The sequence below is a fragment of the Homo sapiens genome, chromosome 19 (assembly GCF_000001405.40).
Source record: "Homo sapiens chromosome 19, GRCh38.p14 Primary Assembly".
Classification (NCBI taxonomy): Eukaryota; Metazoa; Chordata; class Mammalia; order Primates; family Hominidae; genus Homo; species Homo sapiens.
In genome coordinates, this window is record NC_000019.10 from 43,755,610 (window position 1) to 43,782,224 (window position 26,615).

Below are 26,615 nucleotides of genomic sequence, written 5' to 3' on the forward strand. Positions count from 1 at the left end.
TCCAGGGTCGAAAATTTAAACACACGTGGGCGGAGTCTTGCGCGCGCCAAAGAGGAACATTGGGCGACGGGCGCGGCCTGGAGAGCGCATGCGCATTCGGAAGGGTCGGCAGTTCCCCAGTGGGCAGAGTGGGTGGATGGGAAGGTTCTAGCTTTTTATTTGAAATTTTATTTATTTTTATTTTATTTATTTATTTAGAGACGGAGTCTCGCCCTGTCACCCAGGCTGGCGTGCAGTGGCGAGATCTCGGATCACTGCCGTCTCCACCTCCTGAAATTCAAGCGATTCTCCTGCCTCAGCCTCCCAAATAGCTGGGATTACAGGCGTCCACCACGCCTGGCTAATTTTTTGTATTTTTAGTAGAGACTGGGTTTTGCCATGTTGGCCAGGCTGGTCTCGAACTCCTGACCTCAAGTGATCCGCCCGCCTCGGCCTCCTAAAGTGCTAGGATGACAGGCGTGAGCCACCGTGGCTGGTCTAAAAAAAAGTTTTTTAAAATTATATTTGAACAGGTATTACATGTACATACACAATTCAAACCTCTCTGGCTGTATACAATAAAAGTAAGTTTCCACCTCTGGTTCCCATTTTCCTTTCCTAAAGCACTGGTTCCCGGTTTCCTTCTGGAGCTGCTGTTATAATAAAGCATTGGAGTTAAGAGCATGTGTTGAGTTCATATAAATAGCGGCTGAGCTTGACCAAGTGACTTAATACTCTCTACTTCTACGTCCCTGTTTGTGAATTGGGTGTGGTATAACCTTACTTACAACATTGCCGCCAGCATTAAATGGGTGAGAGTGCATAGAACAGTGCCTGTTGCCTAATGGTACTGTGTGTTGTCTCTGTGTATTATTTTGTGGTCTACCATGCTGATAGTTGTAGATTCTGAGCAGCCCTCTCCCCTCCAGGCCTCATCCCTACTGTCATTGTCCCAGTACCAGTACCAGGTGGAGCCACCTCTCCAGGCTGCCACAGGTAGAAACACCAGTCACCCAGAATGACTTGAGTCCACTGTTGATGGATTCTGGGGAAAGATTCTGGGTGTTTGATAAAGATACACATGACAGGCCATCTCTGTATTATGTCTATCAGTGTCCAATTTTACTTCTTCAGCTCAGGCCATATCTGAATTTCTCAACCCCAGATCACTCACGATTGCCAGTTTCACGTCAGGGCAACCCTCAGAGGTAGAATTTTCTTAAAAGAGGGAAAGAGGAGGCCTGGCATTGACCTTGGACCCACTGTGTACCAGGCTGTGTGCTCTCTGCTTTATATACATCACTATAATCTTCTCCCCTAATTTGTTTAACAGATGTTGGTCCGCGCAGTGACTCACGCTTGTAATCTCAGCACTTTGGGAGGCCGAGGCAGGCAGATCACCTGAGGTCAGGAGTTCAAGACCAGCCTGGCCAACATAGCGAAACCCCATCTCTACTAAAAGTACAAAAATTAGCCGGGTGTGGTGGCATGCGCCTGTAATGCCAGCTGCTCGGGAGGCCGAGGCACGAGAATCACTTGAACCCAGGAGGTGGAGGTTGCAGTGAGCTGATATCGCACCACTGCACTCCAGCCTGGGTGACAGAGTAAGGCTCTGTCTCAAAAAAAAAAAAAAAAAAAAAAAAAAACAGATGTAGACAAATGAGCCTGGAAGAGAGAAGGGCCTTACCGAAGTCCCCATAGGCAGGAAGCAGCAGGGCCTGGATTCAAACCCGGGCCTGGATTCAAACCCAAGCCTGTCTCACTCCAGAGCAAGCCTACACTTTTTCCCTGGCACCGGGGAGCCAGCCTGGTGATGAGTCAGCAGTACAGTCAGGCACCCAGTGAGCTGCCTTTTGTATTAGTGGCATGGTATGCTGTTCTGGAGATATATCATACTTTAACACTTTCTCTGTTGATGAGCATTTAGACTGTTGCTGAACTTCTGCTCTTACAAACATTTACTGCAGGGGTTTGTGTGTATGTTTCTGTTTTCTAATTTTTTCTTTTTCAGACATGTTCTTGCTGTCTCGCCCAGGCTGGAGTCATGTAATACAGTTGTGGCTCACTGCAGCCTCAACCTCCTGGGCTTAAGCAATCCTCCCACCTCAGCCTGAGGAGTAGCTGGGACCACAGGCATGTGCTACCACACCCAGCTAATTTTCTATTTTTTGTAGAGACGGGGTTTCACTATGTTGCCCAGGCTGTCTCAAACTCCTGGCTCAAGCAGTCCTCCTGCCTCAGCCTCCCAAAGTGCTGAGATTATGCTACAGTTAATATCCTGGTACACGTGGCTGCATGTATATGTTAGTATTGTCAGTAGACTATCTCATTTGAAGTGCAAGTAGAATTGCTGGGTCAAAGGGTATGCACATTGGGAATTTTGAGAGCCATTGCCAAATGATCTGTTCATGTCTTTATTTTTTGTTTTTGAGACAGGGTCTCCCTCTGTCACCCAGGCTGGAGTACAGTGGCATGATCATAGCTCACTGCAGCCTCAGCTTCCCAGGTTCAAGCAATTCTCCTGTCTCAGCCTCCCGAGTAGCTGAGACTACAGGCATGTGCCACCACACCCGGCTAATTTTTGTATTTCTTGTAGAGACAGAGTTTCACCATGTTGCCGAGGCTGGCCTCAATCAATCCTTCCACCTCAGCTTCCCAAAGTGCTGGGACTACAGGTGTGAGCCACTGCGCCTGGCCCTGTTCATCTCTTTTTCACTTTTTGTTCATTTCTTTCATTTATATGTTGAATGAATTATGGAACTCTAGTCATCTGCCAGGCACAGCTGTAGGCTGGAGATCCTGTAATGAATAGGAAAAGCACCTGCCCTTTGGGAGCAGATATTCTAGTGGGGCAGATGACATCAGATAAAGGATGCTTGGAAGAAAAGAAAATCGGGGGTGAGGATTGGGAAGACATTGCAAAGGATACAAAATTTCATTTAGACAGGAGGAATAAATTCAAGAGATCCAGTCCACAACATGGTAACTATAGTTAGTAACAATGTATACTTGAAAATTGCTAAGAGGATAAATTTTCAGTGTCCTCACCACAAAAATGATAAATATGTGAAATAATGCATATGTTAATTAGCTTGATTTAGCCATTGTACAATGTATAAATATACAAAACATGTTGTACACCATAAATATATACAATTTTTATTTTTCAATTAAAAATAAAGTCAGGTGCCGGGCGCAGTGGCTCACGCCTGTAATCCCAGCACTTTGGGAGGCCGAGGCGGGCAGATCATAAGGTCAGGAGATCGAGACCATCCTGGCTAACATGGTGAAACCCCGTCTCTACTAAAAATACAAAAAATTAGCCAAGCGTGGTGGCGGGCGCCTGTAGTCCCAGCTACTCCGGAGGCTGAGGCAGGAGAATGACATGAACCTGGGAGGCGGAGCTTGCAGTGAGCCAAGATCGCACCACTGCACTCCAGCCTGGGCAACAGAGCGAGACTCTGTCTCAAAAAAAAAAAAAAAAGTCAGGTTACAGGAATTGACAGTGATAGAGGTCACAGAGAGTGACAGGTGGCCAGGGAAGGCCGCTTTGAGGGGATGACATTTGATCAGAGGCCTGAATGCAGTTAAGGAAGGTCAGGAAATGAGCCATCTAAAGATGCTGAAGAACGGCCAGTAAAAGACCCCAAAGTGGGAGTGGGCCTGGCTGTCCAAGGATGGTCAAGGTGGCCAGAGTGGCTGAAACAGAGCAAGGGAGGGAAAGAAGGGCAGGATTATTTAGAGACGGAGCTGTAGACAGGGCCAGTTTACATAAAGTCTTACAGGCCATGGTAAGCATTTGGAATTTACTTCCAAATGTAACAAAGCCATTGCAGGGCTACAAACAAGCACCGGCTTGTTCCAATTAATGTTTACAAAGACTTCTCCAGTGAACAACAAAAATTAACAGTGATTGCCTATAGGGATGAGGGTTATAGACAGATGTGGGTCAGGGCTATGGGAACTTAAAAAGCGTTGTTGTTTTTTTAAACCACGTAATTATTAGCTATGCGCAAAAATGTTCAGTGAAAACAGTGCTGGTTGCTGTGAGGAGAATGGCCTGCAGGGGCGGAAGCAGGAGATGAGAAAGCTGGTGTCCTTGCCTGGGCAAGAAAGGATAGTGGTTCTGGAAGAGGGTGGTGCTAATAGATGAGTTGAGAAGGGTCAGGAACTGGGATCTTTTTTGAAGGTAGCGCCAAGAAATTAAACATGGGGTGTGAGAGGAAGCATGAATCAGGGGTGACTTGAAAGTCATCCTAGAGATCTGTTGTACAACAGGGTGACTCTCATTCATAACAATGTGTTATATGCTTGAAACTTACTAAAATAATAGATTTTAAGTTTTCTCACACCACAAAAAAATAAGTATGTGAAATAATGCATATGTTAATTAGCTTGATTTAGCCATTCCACAATGTGTACATATATTAAAACATCATGTTATTTGCAGCATTAAAAAAAGTTCTAGCGGGGAGGGGGGAGGGATAGCATTAGGAGATATACCTAATGCTAAATGACGAGTTAATGGGTGCAGCACACCAGCATGGCACATGTATACATATGTAACAAACCTGCACATTGTGCACATGTACCCTAAAACTTAAAGTATAATAATAATTAAAAAAAAAAAGTTCGAGAGGTTTTGGTCCTGGCCAACTGCCTGAAGACTGAGACTTTTTTTTTTTTTTTTTTTTTTTTTTTTTTGAGATGGAGTCTTGCTCTGTCGCCCAGGCTGGAGTACAGTGGCGTGATCTCGGCTCACTGCAAGCTCCGCTTCCTGGGTTCATGCCATTCTCCTGCCTCAGCCTCCCGAGTAGCTGGGACTACAGGTGCCCACCACCACGCCCGGCTAATTTTTTTGTATTTTTAGTAGAGTCGGGGTTTCACCATGTTAGCCAGGATGGTCTCGATCTCCTGACCTCGTGATCCACCCGCCTCAGCCTCCCAAAGTGCTGAGATTACAGGCGTGAGCCACCACGCCCGGCCTAAGACTGAGGCTTTTTACCGGGATGAGGAAAAGTACTTTTGATGGGAAATCAACAAGCTTTGAAATTCTTAACTTTGAGATGCACGTTGGTCATCAAATAAGTGGTTGGAGTTAGGGGAAAAAGCCGGGGTTTGTAGATAAAGACTTTCTGACTTTGCGTCACAGAATTTAGTTTAATTAATTAATTTATTTTGAGACAAAGTCTTGCACTGTCACCCAGGCTGGAATGCAATGGCACGATCTTGGCTCCCTGCAACCTCCACCTCCCGAGCTCAAGCAATCCTCCTGCCTCAGCCTCCCAAGTAGCTGGGACCACATATGCTCTAGCACACCCGGCTAATTTTTTAGAGATGAGGGTTCACTATGCTGCCTAGGCTGGTCTCGAACCCCTGGGTTCAAGCAATCCACCCCATCAGCCTCCCAAAGGCTGGGATTACAGTCACTACAGAGTTTTAAAAATACACACAAAGATGTTATGGTATGAAGAGACTCCCACGTACCCATCGCCCAATATTGACAGACATCTGCATTTTTCTTGTCTTATGTCTTCTATTTTTCCCTCCCACATATAAGCATACTTCCCGCCACCCCCTGGAGTTTTGTTTGTTTTAAGAAAATCACAGATAACCTGTCATTTTGTTAATAACTATACAAGTATGCTAAATTTTGGAGCTGCCTATTTATAGATGATATTTAAAGCTATGATTTGCTGAGATCATCTAGGCTGAGAGGTTGAAGAGAGCAGGGACTAGGCCTGAGCATCCCGCATGTAGAAGCCAGGATCCTGGAGAGGGGCTGAGATGGAGCCAGGAGTGTCAGGAGAGGGGATGACCTGGCGCCATGGGATCAAAGGGTTCCAAAGAGAAGATAATGGACTAAGGAGCAGAGACACGGGGCAGCAGCTGGAGGCAGATGTGGGGTCCACCATGGAAAAGACATGACTTTTGATCCCCCATCTAACTGTGTTATGGAACCTTCTCAGTATCTATCAGGAAAAATGTATAAGTACTTATTTTTCTTTATTTTTATTTATTTTCTTTTTGGGTGACATATAACTTAAGTGTGGTAAAGTATATAAAGGGCACAGATCTTAAGTGTACCAGGTAATGAATTTTCACAAATTTATGCATCCATGTAACCGCTAATCAGAGAACATTTCCAGCACCCAGACGTCTTCCTTGTGCTCTTTCCCTGTCAATTCCCCTGCTCCAGAAGCAACCACCCATCTAATGCCTTTCAAAAACAGGCACAGAGATTCGTTGTGTCTGTTTTTGAACTTCATGCGAATGAAATCTTACAGCATGTCTTCCGTGTGTCTGGCATCTTTAGCTCTTTATGTCTGGCAAAGTCTTTTATGTCATTCTATGTAGCAGGAGTTTAGAACCAACTTTATGGCCGGGCTTGGTGGCTCACATCTGTAATCCCAGCACTTTGGGAGGCGGAGGCAGAGGCAGGCAGAACACGTGAGGCTAGGAGTTCGAGACCAGCCTGGCCAACATAATGAAACCCCATCTCTACTAAAAATACAAAAAATTAGCTGGGCGTGGTGGAGGTGCATACCTGTAATCCCAGCTACACTCGGGAGGCCGAGGCACGAGAATTGCTTGAAGCTGAGAGGCAGAGGTTGCAGTGAGCCGAGATCACGCCACTGCACTCCAGCCTAGGTGACAGAGCGACAGATATTTTGCAGTTTGGTGAATAGTGAACTTTAAGGAAAATGGAGAATCTAAAATGCTTCTGAAAGTTCCAGTGGGATGTTTATAAGATGGGAGAAATTATAGCATGTTTGTGTGCAGATGGGAATGATAGAGGGAAAAGAGACCAGGAGACTTTGGAGCTGTTTTTTGAGGAGGTGTGGACAGGGTGAGGGGGCTAGACTTGACTTGAAGAAGGGCCAGCTCATCCTGGAAAAAGAAAGGAAAGTTTTATCATTTGACACCCCCTCCAAATTATAAAAAGCACTCTCCTGGTTTGTATATGTTAGCAGCTATTCCACACAACATAAAAGCTTAAAGCATGCCTTTGGACTGCCAGTCTGGTGTTGATGATGATGATACAGCTTCCTTTATGGACCATAATAAATAGCTGGGCTGGGCATGGTGGCTCCTGCCTGTAATCCCAGCACTTTGGGAGGCCAAGGTGGGAGGATCTCTTGAGCCCAGGAGTTTGAGACCAGCCTGGGCAACATAGTGAGACCCCCGTCTCTACAACAAAGAACTGAATAAATGTTAGTGATGTTTATTTTTATTCTGAGTGGATGGGGCAAGAAGGAGGGGAGAGCAGCAGGCAGTTTGGGAAGGAAGAGGAGCCTAGTGGCCTGAGCAGCCAGGACAGGGAGGAGAAGGGGAGGCCAGAAGACGGGGAGAGACTGAGCTTGCAGAGTCCCCCGGGTGAGGCTTGTGGGCATACTGACACAATGGAATACTACTGTGTAATGAAAAGGATGAGCAGCATGGCTGAATCTCACCACCACCCTGCAGAGCCCAAGACACAGATACACACCAGGGCGTGCAGCAGGGTTCCTTCCAAAGTTCAAAGTTGAACAAAAGGAATCAAGACAGGTCAGGATGGTGGTTCCTGGGATGAAGGGGGCTGTTGGCTGGGAGGGAAATGAGAGCTTTAGGGGGCTAGACACTTCTAGCTTGATCTGAGTGATGGCTACTCAGGTGAATGTATTTGAAGAAATATATTGAGATTACATTTAAAATTTGTGTACTTTATTGTATGTTAAAATATATGTCAGTTAAAGAAAAAAAGGGGGCAGGCATGGTGGCACACAGCTGTAGTCCCAGCTGCTTGGGAGGCTGAGGCAGGAGGATCACTTGAGTGCAGGAATTCGAGGCTGCAGTGAGCTACGATTGTACCACTGTACTCCAGCCTGGGTGACAGAGCAAGACTCTGTCTCTAAAAAAAAAAGAGCTGGACTCAGAGCTAGACTTTGACAGGAGGGCAGTGGGAGGAATGGGAAGTGTGTGGGTGTTAGAAAGGTCCTCAAGGGCAGTTGGGGGATTTATGAAGGGGAAAGGCCCGTGACTGGCTGTATGACCCTGGGAAGCCCCTGCCCTCTCTGGACCGCCTTTCCCCCACCCAGTCCTCATGAGAGTGCAGGCAGAACAGAAATAGGAGAAGGAAGGAGCCAAAATCACCATGAGACTCAGCTCCTGGAGGACAGAGCCCTCTGATTCATGTCTGCAGCCCAGCTCCTGGCTCAGGGCCTTCAGGAAGTGTTGATTTGGTGAGGGGGGTGCAAAACCTGCCAGAAGTGGGGGCATCCAGGCTTGAGCCCCACAGTGGAGAATGAGGGCAGGCGGGCCAGGGCAGATCCAAGATAATTCAGAACACAGGATCTCTTGTATGTTCTCCTAGGTTCTTAGTCAAAAGCCCCTTTTCACTGGTTCTGACCTTGCCTCAGCTGAAATCAACATGGGATGGCTCAGCTGAAACCAACATGGGGTGGCTTCAGGCCATCCCAGGCATTCAGAGGGTTCGTTTAATGACATTCACTGAGGCCCTGTCTATGTCAGGCCCTTGGTGTTGAAGACGCAATCATGAACAAAAATGAAAATACAATGTGATGGTCTCCTGAGTGTCTGAATGCGCCAGGTGGCTAAGTGCTGGGGCTCTGGGGTCAGGCTGCCTGGGTCACATCCTGGCTCCAAACTGCTTTGCTATGGCTTCGGGCAGTTACCTCATCTGTAAAATGGGACCAACATTGCCTACCTTGCCTCCTTTTGTGAGGTCACTTATTAAAAGGGCTTAGCGTGGTGCTTGACCCATTATTATTATTATTATTATTATTATTATTATTATTATTATTATTATTATTACTACTACTACTACTACTTGAGACAGGGTCTCACTTTGTCACCCAGGCTGGAGTGCAGTGGCACGACCACAGCTCACTGCAGCCTCGACTTCCCAGCCTCTTCAAGTGTTCCTCCCACCTTACCCTCCCAAGTAGCTGGGACCACAGGTGTGTGCCCCCACACCTGGCTAATTTGTTGTCGTTGTCGTTGTTGTTGTTGTTTGAGATGGAGTCTTGCTCTGTCACCCAGGCTGGAGTGCAGTGGCACGATCTCGGCTCACGGCAAACTCCGCCTCCTGGGTTCAAGTGATCTCCTGCCTCAGACTCCCGAGTAGCTGGGATTACAGGCACACACCACCACGCCTGGCTAATTTTTGTATTTTCAGTATAGACAGGGTTTCACCATTTTGGCCAGGCTGGTCTCGAACTCCTGGCCTCAGGTGATCTGCCTGCCTCGGCCTCCCAAAGTGCTGGAATTACAGGCGTGAGCCACCATGCCTGGCCAGACCCAATATTATTATCGTGATAGGGATAGGTTTATGAGGCTATAGGAGTATCAGACAGGGCCTCCTGGAGGAGGGGACATATTAGCCGAGGCCTACAGGAGGCGTAGGAAGGAGTGTTTGCCAGCTAAAAGGGAGTGGAGGCAAGGAAAGAGAGGTCCCAGAAGAATGAGTTTGGCAGGGGCTTTGGCAACACTGCCAGGAGAGCTTCTTGCAGGGGAAGGGTGTCAGCAATATCTGGAGGTCTCATCCAGTTCCTTTCTTGAGTCCCCGCCTTTACTCCCCAGGTGGGCTGGCCTCCAGAGGAAGGGCAGTTCGTGGCAGTGGGTGGCGGAGGCTCCAATTTAGCTCTCAGGGATGAAGGGGCGAGGCTGGCTGTGGACTTTAAGGGAAATCCAAAGATAGCTCAACAGAAAAGGATGACTCGCAGCCTGATCTTCCCCTCAAGAGGAGGGAAGCAAGAATGAATCAGCCTCTCAAGCTGGAATGAAGTTGCGGCGGGAAGTCAGTCCTCGGTTTGTGGCCCAAGGCCACTCTGCCTCTGACTCACCTTGCAGTGGGGCGGGATGGGTGTGAATCTGGGCTCTCCAGCCCGTATTCCTAGCTTCCGGCTGGGGGCCTGAGGGGAGGCCTGGCTCCTCTTGAAACCTCGGTTTCTACATCTGTGCAGTGGGGTAACGAGGGTCAGGAGAGTGGTTATGGTGACTTATAAACAGAGCTGGGCACACAGTAGGGCCTCTGGAAGTGCCAGCCCCCCTCCTTTGCCCCCTTCCCTTTCACATCCTCTCTTGAGCGGATGTGAAACGGGTATGTGGGTGGTTTGGGGAGGTTTGGGGCCTCTGTTAGTCTCTTGATGAGTGAGTTGTCATCTAGATTCTGGTAAGGCATGAATAGAGGGAGAAAAGCAACAAAAAATCAGAAAAAGGGCAGCCACGCATTGTGTGTGAAAATCAAAAACAATAATAAAAATGATTCTTGGCCAGGGACAGTGGCTCACGCTTGTAATCCCAGCACTTTGGGAGGCTGAGGCGGGCAGATTGCTTGAGCCCAGGAGTTCAAGACCAGCATCTGCAACATAGTGAAACCCCATCTCTACTAAAAATACAAAAATTAGCCAGGCGTGGTGGCAGGTGCCTGTAATCCCAGCTACTTGGGGACTAAGGCAGGAGAATCGCTTGAACTCTGGAGGCGGAGGTTGCAGTGAGCCGAAATCGCGCCACTGTACTCCAGCCTGGGTGACAGAGCAAGACTCCATCTCAAAAAAAAAAAAAAAAGATTCTCTCTCACATATTTGGTTCCTACTAAATGCCTCTGGGCTACTCCATGTTTTAATCTTCACAGCAGTTCCATGGGGAGGCAGTCCCATTTCACAGGTGAGGTAAACTGTTCAGAGGTGAAGCCACTTACCCAAGATCACACCACCAGTGGATGGTAGAACCAGGATTTGGACCCTGATCTGTCTGAGTTCAAAGCTGTTGCTCTTTGCCTCAGATCTGGGCAGGGGACTGTTGCTGAGGACTGCCCAGCCTACAGAGTTGGGAGGGCACTTACAGGAGAAGGCCTCTGAGACAGGTTCAGACAAGGCAACAGTCTTCCACTGGACGGTCTGCCAGTTAGGAGTGTAGATATGTTTAGAGAGAAATGGCAACTTCTGGCTTTAACATTTATTACAAAGATAAGAGCAGAGGCTGGTGAGTTACACTTCTTCCTCCCCACCAGGTGCTCTCTGCAGCTCTGGAAAAATGGTGTCCTCTTTGTTGTCCCACCAGGGGGCGCCACCTCCAGCCCCGCCCCAGCCTCATACCCAGTTCTTCAGCTCGGCCAGCGGTAACTGAAGCCTCCCAGAATCCTGGATCCGGGCCCCTAGTACCCTCTTTCCCAGGGACCCAGGAGTCCTGCCTCCAGTCGCCTGCACTTGTAACTGAGAGCTGGAGGTCGTCCATAGCAGCATAGTGAGAGTGTTTTTGATGAGGGTATGCAGAGTGGGGGTGACCATGTTCCCACCTGGGGCCTCAGGTGGGCCAAGGCCTACCCACTTTAGCCAGCGTCCCCTCCAGCAGCCATCAGCAAGCCAACCCACTCCAAGCCAGGGCCCCCTTTGGTCCTTGCACTTGAGGTGCTTTGTTCAGGGCTGGGTCAGGAGTGGCAGAGACGATGTCCACCACCTCAGTACTGGGGAAAGTAGCCTGGTTCCTCCTCGTGGGTCCTGGAGAGACAGAGAGACTGATGGAGAGGCAGGCCAGGAAGAGGGAGAGTGAGAGTGGGACACACCGAGGTGCAGACAGAAACCGGTGGGCAGAAGTGGGAGACAGGGGGCAGGTGTTTCCGGGCCCCGAGGCCAGGGGGCAGGAGGGCATTTAGACAGAGACATTGGATGGACAGCCAGACAATGTGCCCAGGACAGGCAGAGAGAGAGAGAGAGACCAAGCAAAGAGGGAGAAGGCCATCAAGGGTCAGTGAAGGGGAGAGGGTACACCATCTTCCTTCACTGCCAGTCCAGCCCCGAACTGAGTCCTTTCCTCCAGACAGTGCCAGAGCTGATGAGAAAAGGCGGCCTTGTCTCCCAGCCATCCCCCGCCCCCTTAGCCACATAGGGTGCTGGCCACAGGAACCCTTCCTCCAGGATGCCTTCCTGCCCAAGTCCCAGCCCCCTCACCAGCTACTTGGACTGCTGGCTGGGTTCTGGAAGCTGCCTCGGCCCCAGGGCAGTGCTAAGCAGCTCAGTCAGGGCATCCAGCTTCCCCGCCAGCGTGTCAATCTGTTTCTCCAGGGCCCGGTGTGAGCTGCTCAGATTCTGCTGCAGGTCATACAGGATCATGTGCATCTGGGTGGGAGGAGAGGATCAGAGGTGTCGGGGCTGGGGTCGACCCCCACCTACTCCATAGCGTAAGGCAATGGAACCAATATTGACCACATCCTTATGGTCCTCTGAGGATTACCCTCGACAATAACTGTTACCATGTATTGACCACCTACCACTTCCCAGCTACCTGCCCAGGTGTTTCCCTATATGGTTTAAAATCCTCCCAAAAGCCACAGGGAGTGGGAATCCTGTTCCTGTCTTACAGCTGAGGAAACAGGCATGGAACAGTTAAATGACATGCCCAAAGCAGCTCCTGAAATAAGACCTAGAACATAGCAGGTGCTCATTAGATATTTCTAGCATGGATGATGCCTGACTTCCAAATCCACATAGTCTTTTACTGCATTCTCTGGCTAGGATTCACTAGTTGATCCCTGAGGGTTTGTGGATTTTCTATGGAAATTCTTGAATTCTGTGTTTTTGGCTTGATAACCTTCAGAAATTACCACCTGCCAATTCCTGCAGATCTGGGCCACTGCCTCGTCACTGAGACCTGCCATGCGGTTTTGGGGCCTGCATCTGTGACCGTGCTTACCATGGCATTGCTGCCAGGGGCCACTGTTTGAACTGTCGTGGGCTAACGAGAAAAAGCAAAGGCCACCAGATAAGCAGAAGATGCTGTGAGCCAGGCCAAGGGGGTGTTGTGACATCATTGTCCCTAAGCACTGGCGAAATCAAATGGTCTCAGCAGAAGAAGGGGGCGGGTAGCTGAGTCACGCCTTGGCCAGGCAAACTTGCATGGACGTCCCTGTTGCCCTGAGTACCCCTCCACAAGAGCAGCAGAGATTGAGTTTTACGGAAACAATGTCACCTGTGTCCTTGTCAGTGTTGTTCATTTTAATTGTATTGGTTTTGCCGTCTATGGGCTTGGTTTGTAAATTTGCTTTGGTTTTATTGTATGAGCTGTAGTTGGAAGGAATTTTATATCCGTCCACATGTAAGTAACTTAACAATAAAGATAATTTGAAACCAAACACTGGGGTTCTTTGTGCAATTTTTTTTTTTTCAGTTTGTAAGGGATCTGTGCCTTTCATGAATGTAAGAAGCTCTGTGTTGCATCATTCATTCCTTCCTTCCTTCATTCAACCACAGACCTTTACTGACAGGCTGTGTGTGCCAGGCCCCTGCCAAGGTTCCCTGTTCTAGGGCCAGATTTCCCTCCCTGTGGCCCCAACCTCCCCCTTCTTCAAGACCTCCTCCCACGGGATCCTAGTACCTTGGAGATGTCCACCATGGAGTTCACTTGTTCCCGGAGCTTCCGGTGTTTCAGCCGCACCTGGCGGAACCTGTGGGAAGAAGTGGGGAGTCAGTTTTACAAGCCTGGTCCCTGAATGTAGCTGTAGCTCAGGGGAGGAATGAAGGGAGGAGAGGCACATGAAGAAACAAAACAAAGAAACAAAGTTGTCGAAGAGCTGAAAGAGTGGGAGGGGATGCACCCTGCCTCCCCACGAGCCCCCATCCCCAGTAGAAACCCAGGTACCCAGGTCCGCAGACACACCGAGATATGCGGAGACAAACCAGCACAGACACATAGAGTCATGCACGGTCAGATCCAGGTGAGACCTGGATGTTGAGTGAGACCACACCTGGGTGTCCTGACCTGGACAGGCATGGACATGCACACACACAGCCGTGCAGAGAGGTGACTTGGACATGGGTGCACATGGACACGTGTGCATACAAAGCGGCCCTCACGCGTTGATGGCGGCCAGCAGCTTGCGCTGATGCCTGCGGGCAGCATGAGACTCCTTCCTGCGAGTATGTTTGTAGAACATCCAGGCTTCTTGTAGCACTCGGGCAGCGGACTCCTTCATCTGGGGGTGGGTGGCACAGTGTCCGTGGAGATAGACCCTTACGGTTCTGGGAAGGCAGGGCTAGGGCTGGGACTCTTGGGTCCTAGGGGAAGCAGGGGCGCCTGGACTCCTGCTTCTTGGAAGAGGGGTGTCCCATGGGTGCCATATGCCCATCTCACCTCTTTGGTATACTGGATATCCATCATGAAGTTGTGCACGTGCTTCTCTGCCTTGTTAAACTCCAGCTTCCGGGCCACCACGGCCACCAGCAGGGCTGTGCAGCAGACACCCTGTGGGCACAGCAGGCACCGTGGCATGAGGCTGTGCCACCGACTCCCTCCTTGAACCCGCCCAACAGCCACAGACGGTAGGCACGACCATCCCCAGTTAGCAGACAAGCAAAGAGGCTCAGAGAGGAGAGCCAAGGTCCCAGCTCAGAGCGGTGGAGCTAGAATCATAAATCGCATACGTCCGAGCCCAAATTTGATGCATAGCATTCACACCCTCAGGGTGGCCTCTTGAATGAAGGATAGGATTGGAGGAGTGAGAGGAAGGCTGGGTTCTGAGCCAGGGGCAGGCCTCTGGGTCCTCAGTGCTCATGTGGTCAGCCATTGCACTGTGGAGGGCGACCATCCTTCTCCCACTCCCACAACTTCTTCCTAGCTCCAGCCCTGTCTTCTCTCTCCTGGACCGTCTCCAGCCTCCCACTCATCCTCCCCTAACCCCCTTGGTCCCCTCTAATCTCCCAGGCTTCCACTGGCCTGAACGTCTCAGCCTGGCTCCCAAGGCCTTCCAAGGTCTATGCCTCCCACCTGGACAACTCAGCCCTGGCTCCATGCTGCCTGCCCTCCCTGAGCACCTTCCTCCGAACACTCATTCTCCTCCCTTCCTTCTCCCAATGCTCCTGGCCCTTCAAGGCCTTGGCAATTCCTAGCTGCTTGTGGCATCTGCTCACCTGTCCCCAAGTTAGAAGGAATCTTCCTAGGAAGCATCCCCAACCCTATAGTTTCAGCTCTTGATCACTCAGAACAACTTCCAGTCACAAACGCTGGCTCCAGGGGACTGCCTGGGTTCCAAGCCCAGCTCTGAGCAAGTTATTTAATCTCTCAGTATTTCAGTGTCTCATCTGTGAAATGGCCTCACAGGGTTACTAGGTGGATTTCATGAATTACCCCTGGCAAGTGTGTAGGGCAGAGACTGGCACAGAGTATGTGCTCCGGAAAAGTAAGCTTTTATGGCCCAACCATGCCATGGAGCCTTTCTTCCAGGAGCAGGCTGTGAGCTCAAGTGCACATCACCCTATCTCTCTAGGTTTCTGTTTCTCCTTTTGTCAAATGAGGGAGGAGGTCCTGAGCGGTGCTGCAGGTCCCTAACTGAGTCTCTGCCCCTCTTCCCTTGCTCCAAAGACTCACCACTGGGGGAGTGGAGGTCACCACATCCTTCACCTGTGCACCTAGGGATTGGGGGATGAATATGTCCTTCCTAGGCCCACATCTGGGCTAGGTGCTGGTGGCTTAGGTCCCCGAGGGTGAGGGGAACCCGATCTTGTAGGGAGGTGAAGGCCAAGGCATTAGGTGCTAGTCTCTAGAGGGGGCCAGGGCTGGGTGGGAGGACCTGAGTGACTGGGTCTATGGAGGGAAGGAGGTGGATGTCAGGGTTCAGGAAGAGGCTGACTCAGGCTGCAGAGCCTCTGCCTCATCCTTGAGGGCAACAGGAGCTGGTGTGGGGTGGCTGGATGCCTGGCCACCCCTAGACCTGTTTACTGAGCACCTCCTGTGGGCTGGGCACTGTTGGAAGCACTTTACGTAGTTGGACCCATTTAATCATCTCAGCAAGCCCATGAGGAGCATCAGCATCCCCATTTTATAGATGAGGAAAGTGAGGCCCCGAGAGATCACGTGGCTCGCCTGAGCTCCCCAGCCAGGAAGTGGCAGCCGCAGGATTCGGACCCAGGTAGCCTGGCCCCACAGGTATGCACTTGATAACTGGACTCTACACCCTTGATGGAGGCTGGGAGACGATTTCCCAGTTCTGGAAGAAAATGGGGCTGCGAAGTCAGGAGCCTGGGTCCCTGAGGAGGATAAGGGCTGGGGCCCTAGGTTCTAGAGAGAGCAAGGACTTAGGGGCTGGATTCCTAGGTCTGATTTTTTATTTTATTTTTTAAGAGACAGGGTCTCACTCTGCCACCCAGGCTGGAGTGCAGCAGTATGATCATAGCTCACTGTACCCTCAAACTCTTGGGCTCAAGTGATCCTCCCACCTTGGCCTCCCAAAATATTGGGATTACAGGTGAGTATCTTGTTCTTGAAGAGAGAATGGGGCTCTGGGGGCCCCAGACACTCAAGTTTCTCAGGAGCTGTCCCTGAGAGCCTGTGTTGAACCCATTTAATCATGGCTTCCTGGGGCCAGAGGATGACCAGTTTGGGATAGGGATCATGTCCCCAAGGCAGCTGTACTCACCATGACTCCAGTGCACAGGCAGACGATCTTGCCCCACATGGTGCCCGGCACCACGTCACCATAGCCGATGGTCAGGAATGTGATGGGGATCAGCCAAAGTGTGTCTGAAAGGTGCCCAGTGGCATTAACAGCCTGCCTATGGGGAAGGGTAGGTTAGTTCTAAAACCCCACCATAGAGGTTTCCATGATATTCACTCCCCTTCCCTCTATACCCTCCCATCCCCTTCCCTCTGGTTCCCTCCCTTCCCCTCCCAGTATACACCCATAGTCCTAAGAATCACCTGGACAAAAAGCCATTAAGTTCTGAGCTTTGGAAAGCCTGCATGGCCTCCTCTCTGCTGTGTGACCTGGGCAAGTTGCTTAGCCACTCTGGGATTTGAGACTGGGTCTGGCCAATCCCAATGCCGGTATGGTCTCAGCTAGGCTACCCGGGCTGCTGTAGCATTCAGAGCGTGTGGTTGAGGGTGGAGAGTCGATAGGGGGCCAAAACCCAGTCAGACCCTGACTGGTGGCTACATCCACCCAGAGGAAGGGGTATATTTTTCTAATTTCCACAAAGATGCTGTGTGGTCCAGAAGTGGCCCTATCAGGACCAAAAAGGACTCTAAAAAGGCTTGGTGGGACTCGGCCTTCCTTTCCTCTCACTTCACAGAGGAGACATTTAAGTCCAGCCATGGAAGGGGTTGAAACATTGAGATTTGTCTAACTTTGTCCACAGGCCCCTTGCCGCAAGACCAGCAGGGAAAGCTTCATTCATGAGGGCCCCTGACACCCCAGACCCACCGGGTTGGAGTTTCTAGGAGCGAAGATGGAATCTGTACTGTTCACAAACCCCACCCCCTCATTCCGAAGTACATTCTAGTTTCAGGACTTCTGCCTTGGAATGTGGAACTTTGACTTCCTCCCCATTCTCCCATCATTCAATTGAGAAACATGGTGGGGGGATCATTCATTAATCCTGATTCTGACCAATTTCCCAATTGTGAAAACTAAGATCCTGGAAGGTGAAGGAGTTTAAACTCATGACAGAGGGCGGGCATGGTAATCCCAGCACTTTGGGAGGCTTAGGCAGGAGGATCACTTGAAATCAAGAGTTCAAAACCAGCCTGGGCAACACGGTAACGTGGTCTCTACTAAAAATACAAAAACTAGTCAGGCATGGTGGTGCACATCCGTAATCCCAGCCACTAGGGAGGCTGAGGCATGAGAATTGCTTGAAGCCGGGAGGCAGAGGTTGCAGGGAGCAGAGATTGTGCCACTGCACGCTAGCCTGGATAATTGAGACTCCAGATCAAAAAACAAGAACTGCCAGGGAGACTACAGATGGTGGAACGTGACATGCATTTTTCAGATGAGGAAACTGAGGCTCAGAGAGGAGAGATCTAAAGCCAGATCTTCTCATTCTCCTCCTGCCCTGAAGGATCTTTGCCACATACACTAGACCAGAGGTTCTCAACCTTGGTTGGGCCATAGAATCACCTGGAAGGCTTGCTAAAGTGGATTGCTGGCCCTACCCTCCAGGATTCAGTAGGTCTGGAAGGGACCTGAGAGTTTTCATTTGCAAGTTCCCAGGTGATGCTGCTGGTCTTGAAATCACACTTTGAGGACCACTGGCTGAGATCACTCCCAACCTCGTTTTTCTCTGAAAGGGATAGAAATTGAGGCGCGGCATCGGGTTACACAGTATCTAGCTGGCAACCAGGATCTAGTTCCAATTCCCTGCTTGGAATTATTTTCCAGAGCAGTTCCAAATCATCCCCTTCCTAGGATCACAAAAAGCACCTACCTACAGTGCATTCCGTGCTAATTGGGAAAATATGTCTCCTTCCTCCAAGGCAGAGGCAACCCTTTAGGCAGGTCCCAGAGATAGGTTCGGAGACCGAACAGATGGCCTGTAAACCTGAGGCAGAGGTCAGGCAGCCGGAAGGGAGGGGCTTTCTAGGGTCTGTGTGTGCGTTTGGGGAGACTGAAGGCTGCAGGTGGAGGATTGGCTGGGGGCTTGTCTGTTGGTTCCTCTCACCCCAGTTGATGGGAGTGTGGGCAAATTTCAGCCAGCAAGAGGAGAAGGGGTCAAAGTGTGAACTTTCTCCACTGCTTGGTCCTAGGGGGCCTCAACCTGCACCGCGGCACAGGACGGCCGCCGTGGCTGTCCGGGGTTCCCCCCTGCGCATTTATGCCTCCATCACCCTCACCTCTCGGCCACGGACAGCACCCAGGCGGTGGTCAGCCAGAGGCCAAGCGTGAGGCCGAGCAGCAGGCGGCCAGGGTGCGTGTTCATGTAAAGCTTGGCCACGAACCAGTGGCGGAAGCGGACTTGATTGAGAGCGCCGATGCTGCGGTAGGAAGCGTTGAGCAGGACGCCGCTGCGCAGGAGCACGGCGCGGGGCACCAGGTAGAGACGCAGCAGCATGGCCAGGGACAGCAGCGCTTCCCCTTGGCCCAGGAATCCCGGCCAGGGCTGCGGGGAGGTCAGCGGCGCCCCTAAATCCTGCACGCACGGCGGGCCCCGCACGGGCGCCGGGTGCAGCCCACACACCACCAGCTCCAGCACGATCTGCGCCGCCTGCCGCCCGGTCAGCGCCACGCGCCAGTCCCGCAGCCCGTTGTCGGTCATGAACAGCTGCCGGTAGGGGGCCAAGAAGGGAGGGGTCAGGAGCAGGTCAGGCGCAGGTCAGGCGGCGGCCCGCGCCTGCCTGCGCCCTGAGATAAGTGGGGTGTGCCGCCTGGCCAGGAGGGAGGGAGTGCAGGGCGGGAGAGGGATAGGGAGGGAGCGGGACAGGACTTGAGGAAGACATCTTTCCACTTTTTCCTCCTTCCCCACCACCCACCCCACTAGTTTCAGCCCACTTCCAGCCTTTGAACACTGACTGAGCGCCGACTGTGTGCCTGACATTGTTCTATGTGCTAAGGATACACAGTGAACCCAACAGACCCCCCTGCCTCCCTAGAGCTTGCATTCCACATGCCTGGAGCTCGCTCCTACTCCCCTTTCGGTTGACACGCGTAATAACTGTAATAATAATATCAGCAATAACAAAGCCATGGGCCGGGCGCGATGGCTTACGCCTGTAATCCCAGCACTTTGGGAGGCTGCGGTGGGTGGATCACTTGAGGTCAAGAGTTTGAGACAAGCCTGGCCAACATGGTGAAACTCCATCTCTACTGAAAAATACAAAAATAAGCCGGGCATGGTGGCGCACACCTATAGTCCCAGCTTCTGGGGAGTCTGAGGTAGGAGAATCACTTGAACCCAGGAGGCAGAGGTTGCAGTGAGCTGAGGTCATGCCACTGCACTCTAGCCTGGGTGACAGAGCGAGACTCCATCTCAAAATAAACAAAACAATAACAATAACAAAATCAGCATGTACTGGGCACCGTGGATACGCCAGGTACTGCTCTATCCCGTTTACATATTGTGACTTAGTAAATGCCCACAACCCAGTGAGATTGATATTATTATTGCCCCCATTTTATAGATGTGGAAGCTGAGGCCCAGGTCCCTTCCATGGGCAATGGCGCACTGGGCTACAGGCTACTTAGCTACTCTATGATAAGATGATAATGTGCACTGTTTACTGAGCACCTCTTATGTGCCAGGCACTGCTCATAGAATTGCCACACATGGCCAATAATCCCCATTTTACATGCAAAGTTATGATAGGAGAGGGGGAAGAGGGGAAAGGGAATGGAGCAACAGGATCTGGGGCAATGGGACAATAGGGGATGGGATGTGTCTGGGTGAGACCCAAGGTGGGGTATGGATGGGGAGAGCTCCTGGGTCTGGGGCAAGAGGGAGGTTATTGGCACAGAGATAGGGTGATTAGGAGTGGGCACCCCTGGGACCGGACCAGGTGCAGTGGCTCAAGCCCGTAATCCTAGCACTTTGGGAGGACAAGGTGGGCAGACTGCTTGAGCTCAGTAGTTGGAGACCAGCCTGGACAACATAGTGAAACCCCGTTTCTACTAAAATACAAAAAAATTAGCTGGGCGTGGTGGCATCTGCCTGTAGTCACAGCTACTTGGGAGGCTGAGGCATGAGAATTGTTTGAACCCAGGAGGTGGAGGTTGCAGTGAGCAGAGATCGTGCCACTCCACTCTAGCCTGGGCAACAGAGCAAGACCTTGTCTCAAAAAAAAAAAAAAAAAAAAAAAAAAAAAGGAGTGGGCAGCCCTAGGACCTTAGGTTGCTTGAGGACTGGATTGGGGATGCCATGTCGGAGCACAGAGATCTGGGAAGCTGAGTGCCTGGGAGCAGAGTGGACAGAGGCCTGGGGGCGGAAGCAGGGCTGCAAGGGCACTCTCAGCATCCGTGAGTGTGCAAGGGGGGGCTGGGGACTACAGGGGAAGGCGGAGCTGGTGGGGGAGGCTCTGCCTGTCTGCTCATGGTTCATCCCATCTGGGTAGGTGAGGGTGTGGACGCAGCACCTAGGGCAGAAGAACTTCATTACTCAGATCAGGAGGAGGAGGAGGGTGGAAAGTGTGAGCTGACAGGGCGCTGAGGGGGTTGGAGGGAGCAAGGCTTAGGGGCGGGGCCTGCCCTACCTGGACCTCTTTGGCATGAAAGGCCACGATGAGGCAGAGGAGTAAGAAGGTGGAAATGCTGATCGTGCATTTAACCAGGAACAGGTAGAGCGCCCACTGTCAGGGGGGACGGAAAAAGCGGTGTGAGATCCCAGGTCTCCCTCCGCCTGGCCCTCCACCTTTCCTTCAAAACCACCATTTTTTTTTTTTGATTCCCAATTTTCCTAGCCTCCTTCCCCTGCAAATCAGTCCCTCTTGATGTGTCGGTTCTGGAGAAGTCTCAAAACCATCATCTGGGCCCAGTGCGGTGGCTCACACCTGTAATCCCAACACTCTGGGAGGCTGAGGCAGGTGGATCACCGAAGGTCGGGAGTTTGAGACCCCCTGGCCAACATGGTGAAACCCAGTCTCTACTAAAAAAACAAAAAATTAGCTGGGTGTGTAATCCCAGCTACTTGGGAGGCTGAGGAACCAGAATCTTGAACCCAGGAGGTGGAAGTTGCAGTGAGCTGAGAGATCGCGCCACTGCACTCCAGCCTGGGCAACAGAGCGAGTCTCCGTCTCGAAACAAGCAAGCAAGCAAACAAACAAACAAAAAAACACCATCATCTGGTCCCCAGGAATGCTCTCTTTCTCCCCAACAGGACAACCCTGTCCAGATGCTGGTGTCTACCCTCTTCCTCAGCTCTTCTCCCAAGACCCATACCCATGAAGGGGGACCTTGAAACTCACATTCCTTCTTATTCCTGTCCCATTTCACATCAAAAATAGTTCTTCAGGTGTGTGTGTGTGTGTGTGTGTGTGTGGGTGTGTGTGTGTGGTGTCTAGAAAAAGACATCTAGCCTCTAGAGAGTGCCCCCTCCCCTTCCCTTCCTACCCACCTGGTGTTGTCCTAGAAACCAACTTCAATCAACCCCAACCCCAGATCTGGAAGAATGTAGAAACTACCATTCAATCCTCAAAGACTGAGTCACACCCTTCTCTGCTCTCATCCGGAGGGCTGAGTCCCTGAGACCCAGCCTCAGCTCTGAGACAGCCCCCTCGGTTCTGCCCCCCTGCAGCTCCCCACTGCCACCCCTCTCTTCTGGCTCTAAGCCCAGGGCAGATCTGGCCGGAAGCACAGGGCCTCCAGAAACCACGGAGAAATTGTTCCTTTTTTTTTTTTTCCTCTCTTTGTGTGGCACAACCTTGGAGGAATCTAGAATTCTGGAGAGAGGGATTTAGAGGGGACTGGGACTGTTGGATTTCCTAAGAGGGGTTGGTCCCTGCCTGGCGGGTATTTGCAGGGGGAGGGGACCACCTGGGCGTCCTTACAAAGCATTGCACCTGTTTCTCCTAAGAGGGCTGCCAGCTCCCCTGGCTGGGCCAGCATCCCGCCTCTGAGCAGGGGAAGAGGGCCAGTTTCCTGCCCCAGGGGCCTGCTCCCCAACCCCCTATCAGAACAATAGTGCTGTTGTCACCAGCCCTCCCCCACCTTCTATGGCTCCCTGGTTCCCTGCCTCTTTCTTCAGTCTGTCTTAACTGCCCACACCACTAGACAACAAGCTCCCTCCTCACACTGCAATTTGCTTCTCTGGTGGTCCTCTCTACTTTTCCATTTCCTCTTCCCCCAAATCCCGGACCTGTCTGCACTTGGGCCTGTACTCTGTTCTCTGAATTTCCCTGTCTCTAGGGATGGTTGTTGCTGTCTTTCTATGTGTTTTGAGGGTCTTTGTTTCTATTGTCTCTTTTTTTTTTTGAGACGGAGTCTTGCTCTGTCACCCAGGCTGGAGTGCAGTGGCACGATCTTGGCTCATTGCAAGCTCCGCCTCCTGGGTTCACACCATTCTCCTGCCTCAGCCTCCTGAGTAGCTGGGACTACAGGCACACGCCGCCATGCCTGGCTAATTTTTTGTGTTTTTAGTAGAGATGGGGTTTCACTGTGTTAGCCAGGATGGTCTCGATGTCCTGACCTTGTGATCCGCCCACCTCGGCCTCCCAAAGTGCTGGGATTACAGGCGTGAGCCACCGCGCCCGGCCCTCTATTGTCTTTTCTAACGCTGTGTGTGTATCTCTCACTGGTGGATTTCTCAGTAGCTTGATAGCCCTATTTGTCTTTCTCTTTAGCTGTACTTCTCTATCTTTCTGCATTTTTGTCTCCATCTCTCTTTTTCTCTCCATGTATCTCTGTGTCTCTGTCTCTCTCTGTACCTCTCCCCATCCCTCCTCCTCCACCCCACCTGGTGCTTTTGGATATCTCTATCCAGTTCCCTTGGACTCCCTAGGGTTTTGCACCTGCCTCTCTGCCAGCCCCTCCCCCTGGGGAGCAGGTGTCTGGGTCCTTTGCAGAAATGAGCTCATTAGATTGAGATGGAGGTGGTGAGGGGCGGTGGATGTTATTAAGAGAGTCCTCAAAAGGGGACTGAGGAGCTGTGGCTCAGGCCTGTAATCCCAGCACTTTGAGGCAGGAGGATTGCCTGAGTCCAGGAGTTCAAGACCAGCCTAGGCAACAAAGCAAGGTCCCATCTCTACATAAAATAAAAAGGGTGGAGGGTGACCCTTAGGGTCATGTATTTTAACCCTCACCCCAATTTACAGATGGGGAAACTGAGGTTCAGAGGGTTGTAACAGCTTCCCCAAGGTCCCACTGATAGAGGCAGTGGCCTGGCCATGGTGGAGGGAAGGAAGAAATGAGGGGTGAGAAAGCAGAGGGGTGAAGTGGGGTAGGATGGACCCCGTCTCTTCCCATCTGCCAGGGTCACTGTGTTCCCACCTCGGCTTCTGGGTGCGGTGCTTCGGCGTGGGAGCGGCGGGCAGGCCCCGGCCATGCTTCCTGTTGGCATGGACTTCGGCGGCCCCACCCCCTCAGTGCCCGCCGCCTGCCAGAGGAAGCTGCATGCCTGACCCTCCATGTGGCTCCTGGTCACTTCAGAGCTGCCCACCACCCCCTCCAGATCCAAGTCGGAACATCAGACCCTCAGGAATCTACCCAATCTTCATATCAGTGTCCGCATCTGGCCCTACCAGCCCAGTTCCACAACCCTTCTGCCAGAGAGGTCTCCAGCCCCTCCTTTCCTGTTGAGCAAGTCTGTTCTCCCCTCAAGCCACTTATTCCAACCCTTGTCCTTGATCTGCCCCATCACTGGCCTGACCAGGGCTGGAATGTGACGGGAGCCTGCTGAGACCTGCCCTGACCCCACTTTCCCCTTTCTTCCCTACTCACCACTCATCTTCGGAGTCAGCCCCTCTTCCCCAAAAGCAATCAAAACCCCCTTCTCCTTAAGACTCAGGAATCCAGGACCCAGCCCCCTCCTCTCCTGGTACCTAGGAGTCCAGGCCACTGTAAGCCTACCTCTCCACTATTTCCCTGACTAATCAGCATGCAGATTTGGGGAGAAATTGAGCTTGTTAACAGTGGAGACTGGGTTGGGGTTGGTGGGGGGAGGCAGGTCGGGGGAGAGGTTTGTTTCCCATTTCCCATCCCCACCCCCAAGGCAGTTTTTTCTGTCCTTTGCATCTAAGGCACTGGGTAAACATTAGAGGTTAGACAAGGACCAAAGAGCTGCCGCCTACTGGAAGAACTTTGTCTTTCCTCCACTCTCCCTTCACCAAACCTGGGGCTACCTCTCCCCTTATTGGCTCTTGGGGGGCTTGAGTGTCTGATCAGCCACCCTCTGGCCTCCAGGGGTCCTGGACCTCTGGCCGTCTAATGGCAACATCTTCAAAGACTGAAACACTGAAACAAATATTCCCTTCCTTTTGCAGAGAAGGACCCCAGCAACTGTCTCCTGGGAGCACCCAGGAGTCCCAGCCAAAGCCCCTCCTCCCTCAGACCCAAGAGTCTAGGCCCCCAACCTCTCCTCCCTCAGATCCAGGAGTCCTGACCCCCAGCCCCTCCTCCCTCAGACCCAGGAGTCCAGACCCCAGCCCCTCCTCCCTCAGACCCAGGAGTCCTGACCCCCAGCCCCTCCTCCCTCAGACCCAGGAGTCCAGGCCCTCAGTCCCTCCTCCCTCAGACCCAGGAGTCCAAGTCCCCAGTCCCTCCTCCCTCAGACCCAGGAGTCCTGACCCTCAGCCCCTCCTCCCTCAGACCCAGGAGTCCTGACCCCCAGCCCCCCCTCCCTCAGACCCAAGAGTCCTGACCCCCAGCCCCTCCTCCCTCAGACCTAGGAGTCCCAGCTCCCAGCCACCATGCCCCACTCACCGAGCACCCCCCGAACCACAGCATCTCTGCATGCAGCACCATGAGTCCAATGCCAGTTCCTGCCAGCACCAGTGCCCAGCCGGCCAGAGACTTCTCCTGCTCCAGCAAGCGCTTTCGGCGTCTCAAGGCCCCCAGGCCAAGCACCAGATCCCCGCCCATGGCCCCCGGGGTCTTGGGGCTCAGCCAGCTTCCTGCCCAGGGTCCCCCACCTCGCAGCACGCACAGGGCAGCCACTGTGGCTTGCAGGTCGTCAGCCTGCTCTGCTGGCTCTGGGACTTTTGCTCTGAGGCACAGCAGAGCCCTGTGCCCTCTGGGGAGTGGTGACGGCCAGGCAGGGCGGGGAGGGGCAGGGGAGGCCCCAGGGTAGGGGGAGGCTCCCCAGCTCCCCCTTTTGAGAATAAGGAGGGGCTAGGGTGTGTCTTGGGGCAGAGCAAGAAAGAGACGTCCATCCACGTGGATAAAGACACACACAGACACACGATGGGCTTTGTCACACACAATGGTCTGTACTTTGTGACACACACCTCTACTCACCACACCCAGACACCGAAGGACACTCCACAGCCCAAGACGGAGACTAACACACCAGGGCACACAACACAACCTACACAGAGTGACTCACAACTCCCAGCAAGCTCTGAAACCCACAGCCACACCCAGACACCACACACATGGTGTGACACACACCAGCACTTAGCAAGCAGGCAGTATCCCGTGGCACACACAGCCACCCAAACACCGTCCACACACAGGCACAAATATTACACTCAAAGTTGTCACAACTTTCTCTGACACAAAGAGCCACACCCAAACACCACAAATAGGACGATGCACAACTGTGGCCACACAAACACAACATACACCAGGTGTTACACAAACACACAATATATATTAAAGTAGTGACGCCCTGATGCCACACACCACACACCGACACAAACACTGTGCAGTCCCAGTTTCCTAAACACTACACACCCTTGGAACGAAACCCAATACGTGTAGACACACAACATTTAGGGACATACCTATAGTAGCCCCCAATCACCCAGAGCTAGAGAATTGCACATACATTGTGGCGCCTGTTGACTCGAACACAAGTGCTCGCAGTGATGATTCAAAACACGCACTGATTCAGCATGCTCTGATGTGTGGTGCGATTCAAATGTATGGTCAGAGGACAAGCTGAGTGGATGCATGCAGAGACCTACAAGGTACAGCGACACACGGAGAAACCCAAGAAGCACATGCCTGAAGCAAGATGATTCTGGTATATTCTGGCCACACAGGACAACATCCAGGATGATGCCCTGGGGGAAGGGGATGGGGTTGGACCTTCATAGACCCCAGTGCCCAAATGCAACATACGGCTGGGTGCAGTGGCTCATGCCTGTAATCCCAGCAGTTTGGGAGGTTGAGGTGGGAGGATTGCTGGAGCCCAGGGGTTTGAGACCAGCCTGGGCAACATAGCAAGATCCTATCTCTAAAACAAGCAAAAACAAAAAAACAAACGCAACATACACCATCA

General features: G+C 51.9%; 1 protein-coding gene across 6 annotated transcripts, besides 11 other annotated features; it reads right to left on the bottom strand.

Moving 5' to 3' along the window:
* Positions 8,858-9,083: a silencer, noted in NCBI's record as "fragment chr19:44268619-44268844 (GRCh37/hg19 assembly coordinates)". NCBI's record gives its function as "represses an EF-1alpha promoter that drives an FKBP-Casp9 reporter gene in an ReSE screen in phorbol 12-myristate 13-acetate-treated (for megakaryocytic differentiation) K562 erythroleukemia cells {active_cell/tissue: K562(+PMA)}" and the evidence as "EXISTENCE:reporter gene assay evidence [ECO:0000049][PMID:32094911]".
* Positions 9,431-9,490: an enhancer, noted in NCBI's record as "active region_14737". NCBI's record gives its function as "activates an Ori minimal core promoter by ATAC-STARR-seq in GM12878 lymphoblastoid cells {active_cell/tissue: GM12878}" and the evidence as "EXISTENCE:reporter gene assay evidence [ECO:0000049][PMID:35858748]".
* Positions 9,511-9,740: an enhancer, noted in NCBI's record as "active region_14738". NCBI's record gives its function as "activates an Ori minimal core promoter by ATAC-STARR-seq in GM12878 lymphoblastoid cells {active_cell/tissue: GM12878}" and the evidence as "EXISTENCE:reporter gene assay evidence [ECO:0000049][PMID:35858748]".
* Positions 10,171-10,260: an enhancer, noted in NCBI's record as "active region_14739". NCBI's record gives its function as "activates an Ori minimal core promoter by ATAC-STARR-seq in GM12878 lymphoblastoid cells {active_cell/tissue: GM12878}" and the evidence as "EXISTENCE:reporter gene assay evidence [ECO:0000049][PMID:35858748]".
* Positions 10,647-10,810: a silencer, noted in NCBI's record as "fragment chr19:44270408-44270571 (GRCh37/hg19 assembly coordinates)". NCBI's record gives its function as "represses an EF-1alpha promoter that drives an FKBP-Casp9 reporter gene in an ReSE screen in phorbol 12-myristate 13-acetate-treated (for megakaryocytic differentiation) K562 erythroleukemia cells {active_cell/tissue: K562(+PMA)}" and the evidence as "EXISTENCE:reporter gene assay evidence [ECO:0000049][PMID:32094911]".
* KCNN4 (potassium calcium-activated channel subfamily N member 4) lies at positions 10,924-25,364 on the bottom strand. Of its 6 annotated transcripts, none has more exons than XM_005258883.3 (9): positions 25,094-25,364; positions 20,932-21,027; positions 18,583-19,010; positions 16,391-16,522; positions 14,110-14,220; positions 13,833-13,951; positions 13,354-13,423; positions 11,931-12,098; positions 10,924-11,480 (listed from the first exon to the last, which is right to left on the bottom strand). In XM_005258883.3, the coding sequence occupies exons 2-8, from the start codon at positions 20,999-21,001 to the stop codon at positions 11,934-11,936; spliced, it is 1,095 nt and encodes a 364-aa protein (XP_005258940.1). In that variant the 5' UTR covers positions 21,002-21,027; positions 25,094-25,364; the 3' UTR covers positions 10,924-11,480; positions 11,931-11,933. The 6 variants fall into 6 exon arrangements, 5 of the variants coding, with proteins under 5 accessions (XP_005258940.1, NP_002241.1, XP_005258939.1 ...); NM_002250.3 differs by having other exon boundaries at positions 16,391-16,526; XM_005258882.3 differs by lacking the exon at positions 20,932-21,027 and having other exon boundaries at positions 16,391-16,526.
* Positions 18,998-19,037: a transcriptional cis regulatory region, noted in NCBI's record as "KCNN4 K1 GATA1 binding motif region targeted for CRISPR/Cas9 perturbation". NCBI's record gives its function as "positively regulates KCNN4 gene expression in K562 erythroleukemia cells {active_cell/tissue: K562}" and the evidence as "EXISTENCE:manual assertion [ECO:0000218][PMID:33828297]" and "EXISTENCE:mutant phenotype evidence [ECO:0000015][PMID:27044088]".
* Positions 22,196-22,696: an enhancer, noted in NCBI's record as "H3K4me1 hESC enhancer chr19:44281957-44282457 (GRCh37/hg19 assembly coordinates)". NCBI's record gives its function as "activates a minimal SCP1, AML or CMV promoter by ChIP-STARR-seq in primed H9 embryonic stem cells {active_cell/tissue: H9 hESC(primed)}" and the evidence as "EXISTENCE:reporter gene assay evidence [ECO:0000049][PMID:30033119]".
* Positions 22,943-22,992: a silencer, noted in NCBI's record as "silent region_10730". NCBI's record gives its function as "represses an Ori minimal core promoter by ATAC-STARR-seq in GM12878 lymphoblastoid cells {active_cell/tissue: GM12878}" and the evidence as "EXISTENCE:reporter gene assay evidence [ECO:0000049][PMID:35858748]".
* Positions 23,752-24,251: an enhancer, noted in NCBI's record as "H3K4me1 hESC enhancer chr19:44283513-44284012 (GRCh37/hg19 assembly coordinates)". NCBI's record gives its function as "activates a minimal SCP1, AML or CMV promoter by ChIP-STARR-seq in primed H9 embryonic stem cells {active_cell/tissue: H9 hESC(primed)}" and the evidence as "EXISTENCE:reporter gene assay evidence [ECO:0000049][PMID:30033119]".
* Positions 24,610-24,739: an enhancer, noted in NCBI's record as "active region_14740". NCBI's record gives its function as "activates an Ori minimal core promoter by ATAC-STARR-seq in GM12878 lymphoblastoid cells {active_cell/tissue: GM12878}" and the evidence as "EXISTENCE:reporter gene assay evidence [ECO:0000049][PMID:35858748]".
* Positions 25,346-25,615: a silencer, noted in NCBI's record as "silent region_10731". NCBI's record gives its function as "represses an Ori minimal core promoter by ATAC-STARR-seq in GM12878 lymphoblastoid cells {active_cell/tissue: GM12878}" and the evidence as "EXISTENCE:reporter gene assay evidence [ECO:0000049][PMID:35858748]".

What these genes read in the sequence shown, in the direction of transcription:
- KCNN4 (NM_002250.3), bottom strand. Translation starts at nt 25,252, where the DNA reads ATGGGCGGGGATCTGGTGCTTGGCCTGGGGGCCTTGAGACGCCGAAAG. An exon ending in TGTGGTTCGGGGGGTGCTCG is followed by an intron (nt 21,028 to 25,093) that starts GTGAGTGGGGCA and finishes CCCCCCTGACAG; the next exon opens with TGGGCGCTCTACCTGTTCCT. An exon ending in CTGCTGGCCGCCATCAACGC is followed by an intron (nt 13,424 to 13,832) that starts GTGAGGGCCGCT and finishes TTCTTCCCACAG; the next exon opens with GTTCCGCCAGGTGCGGCTGA.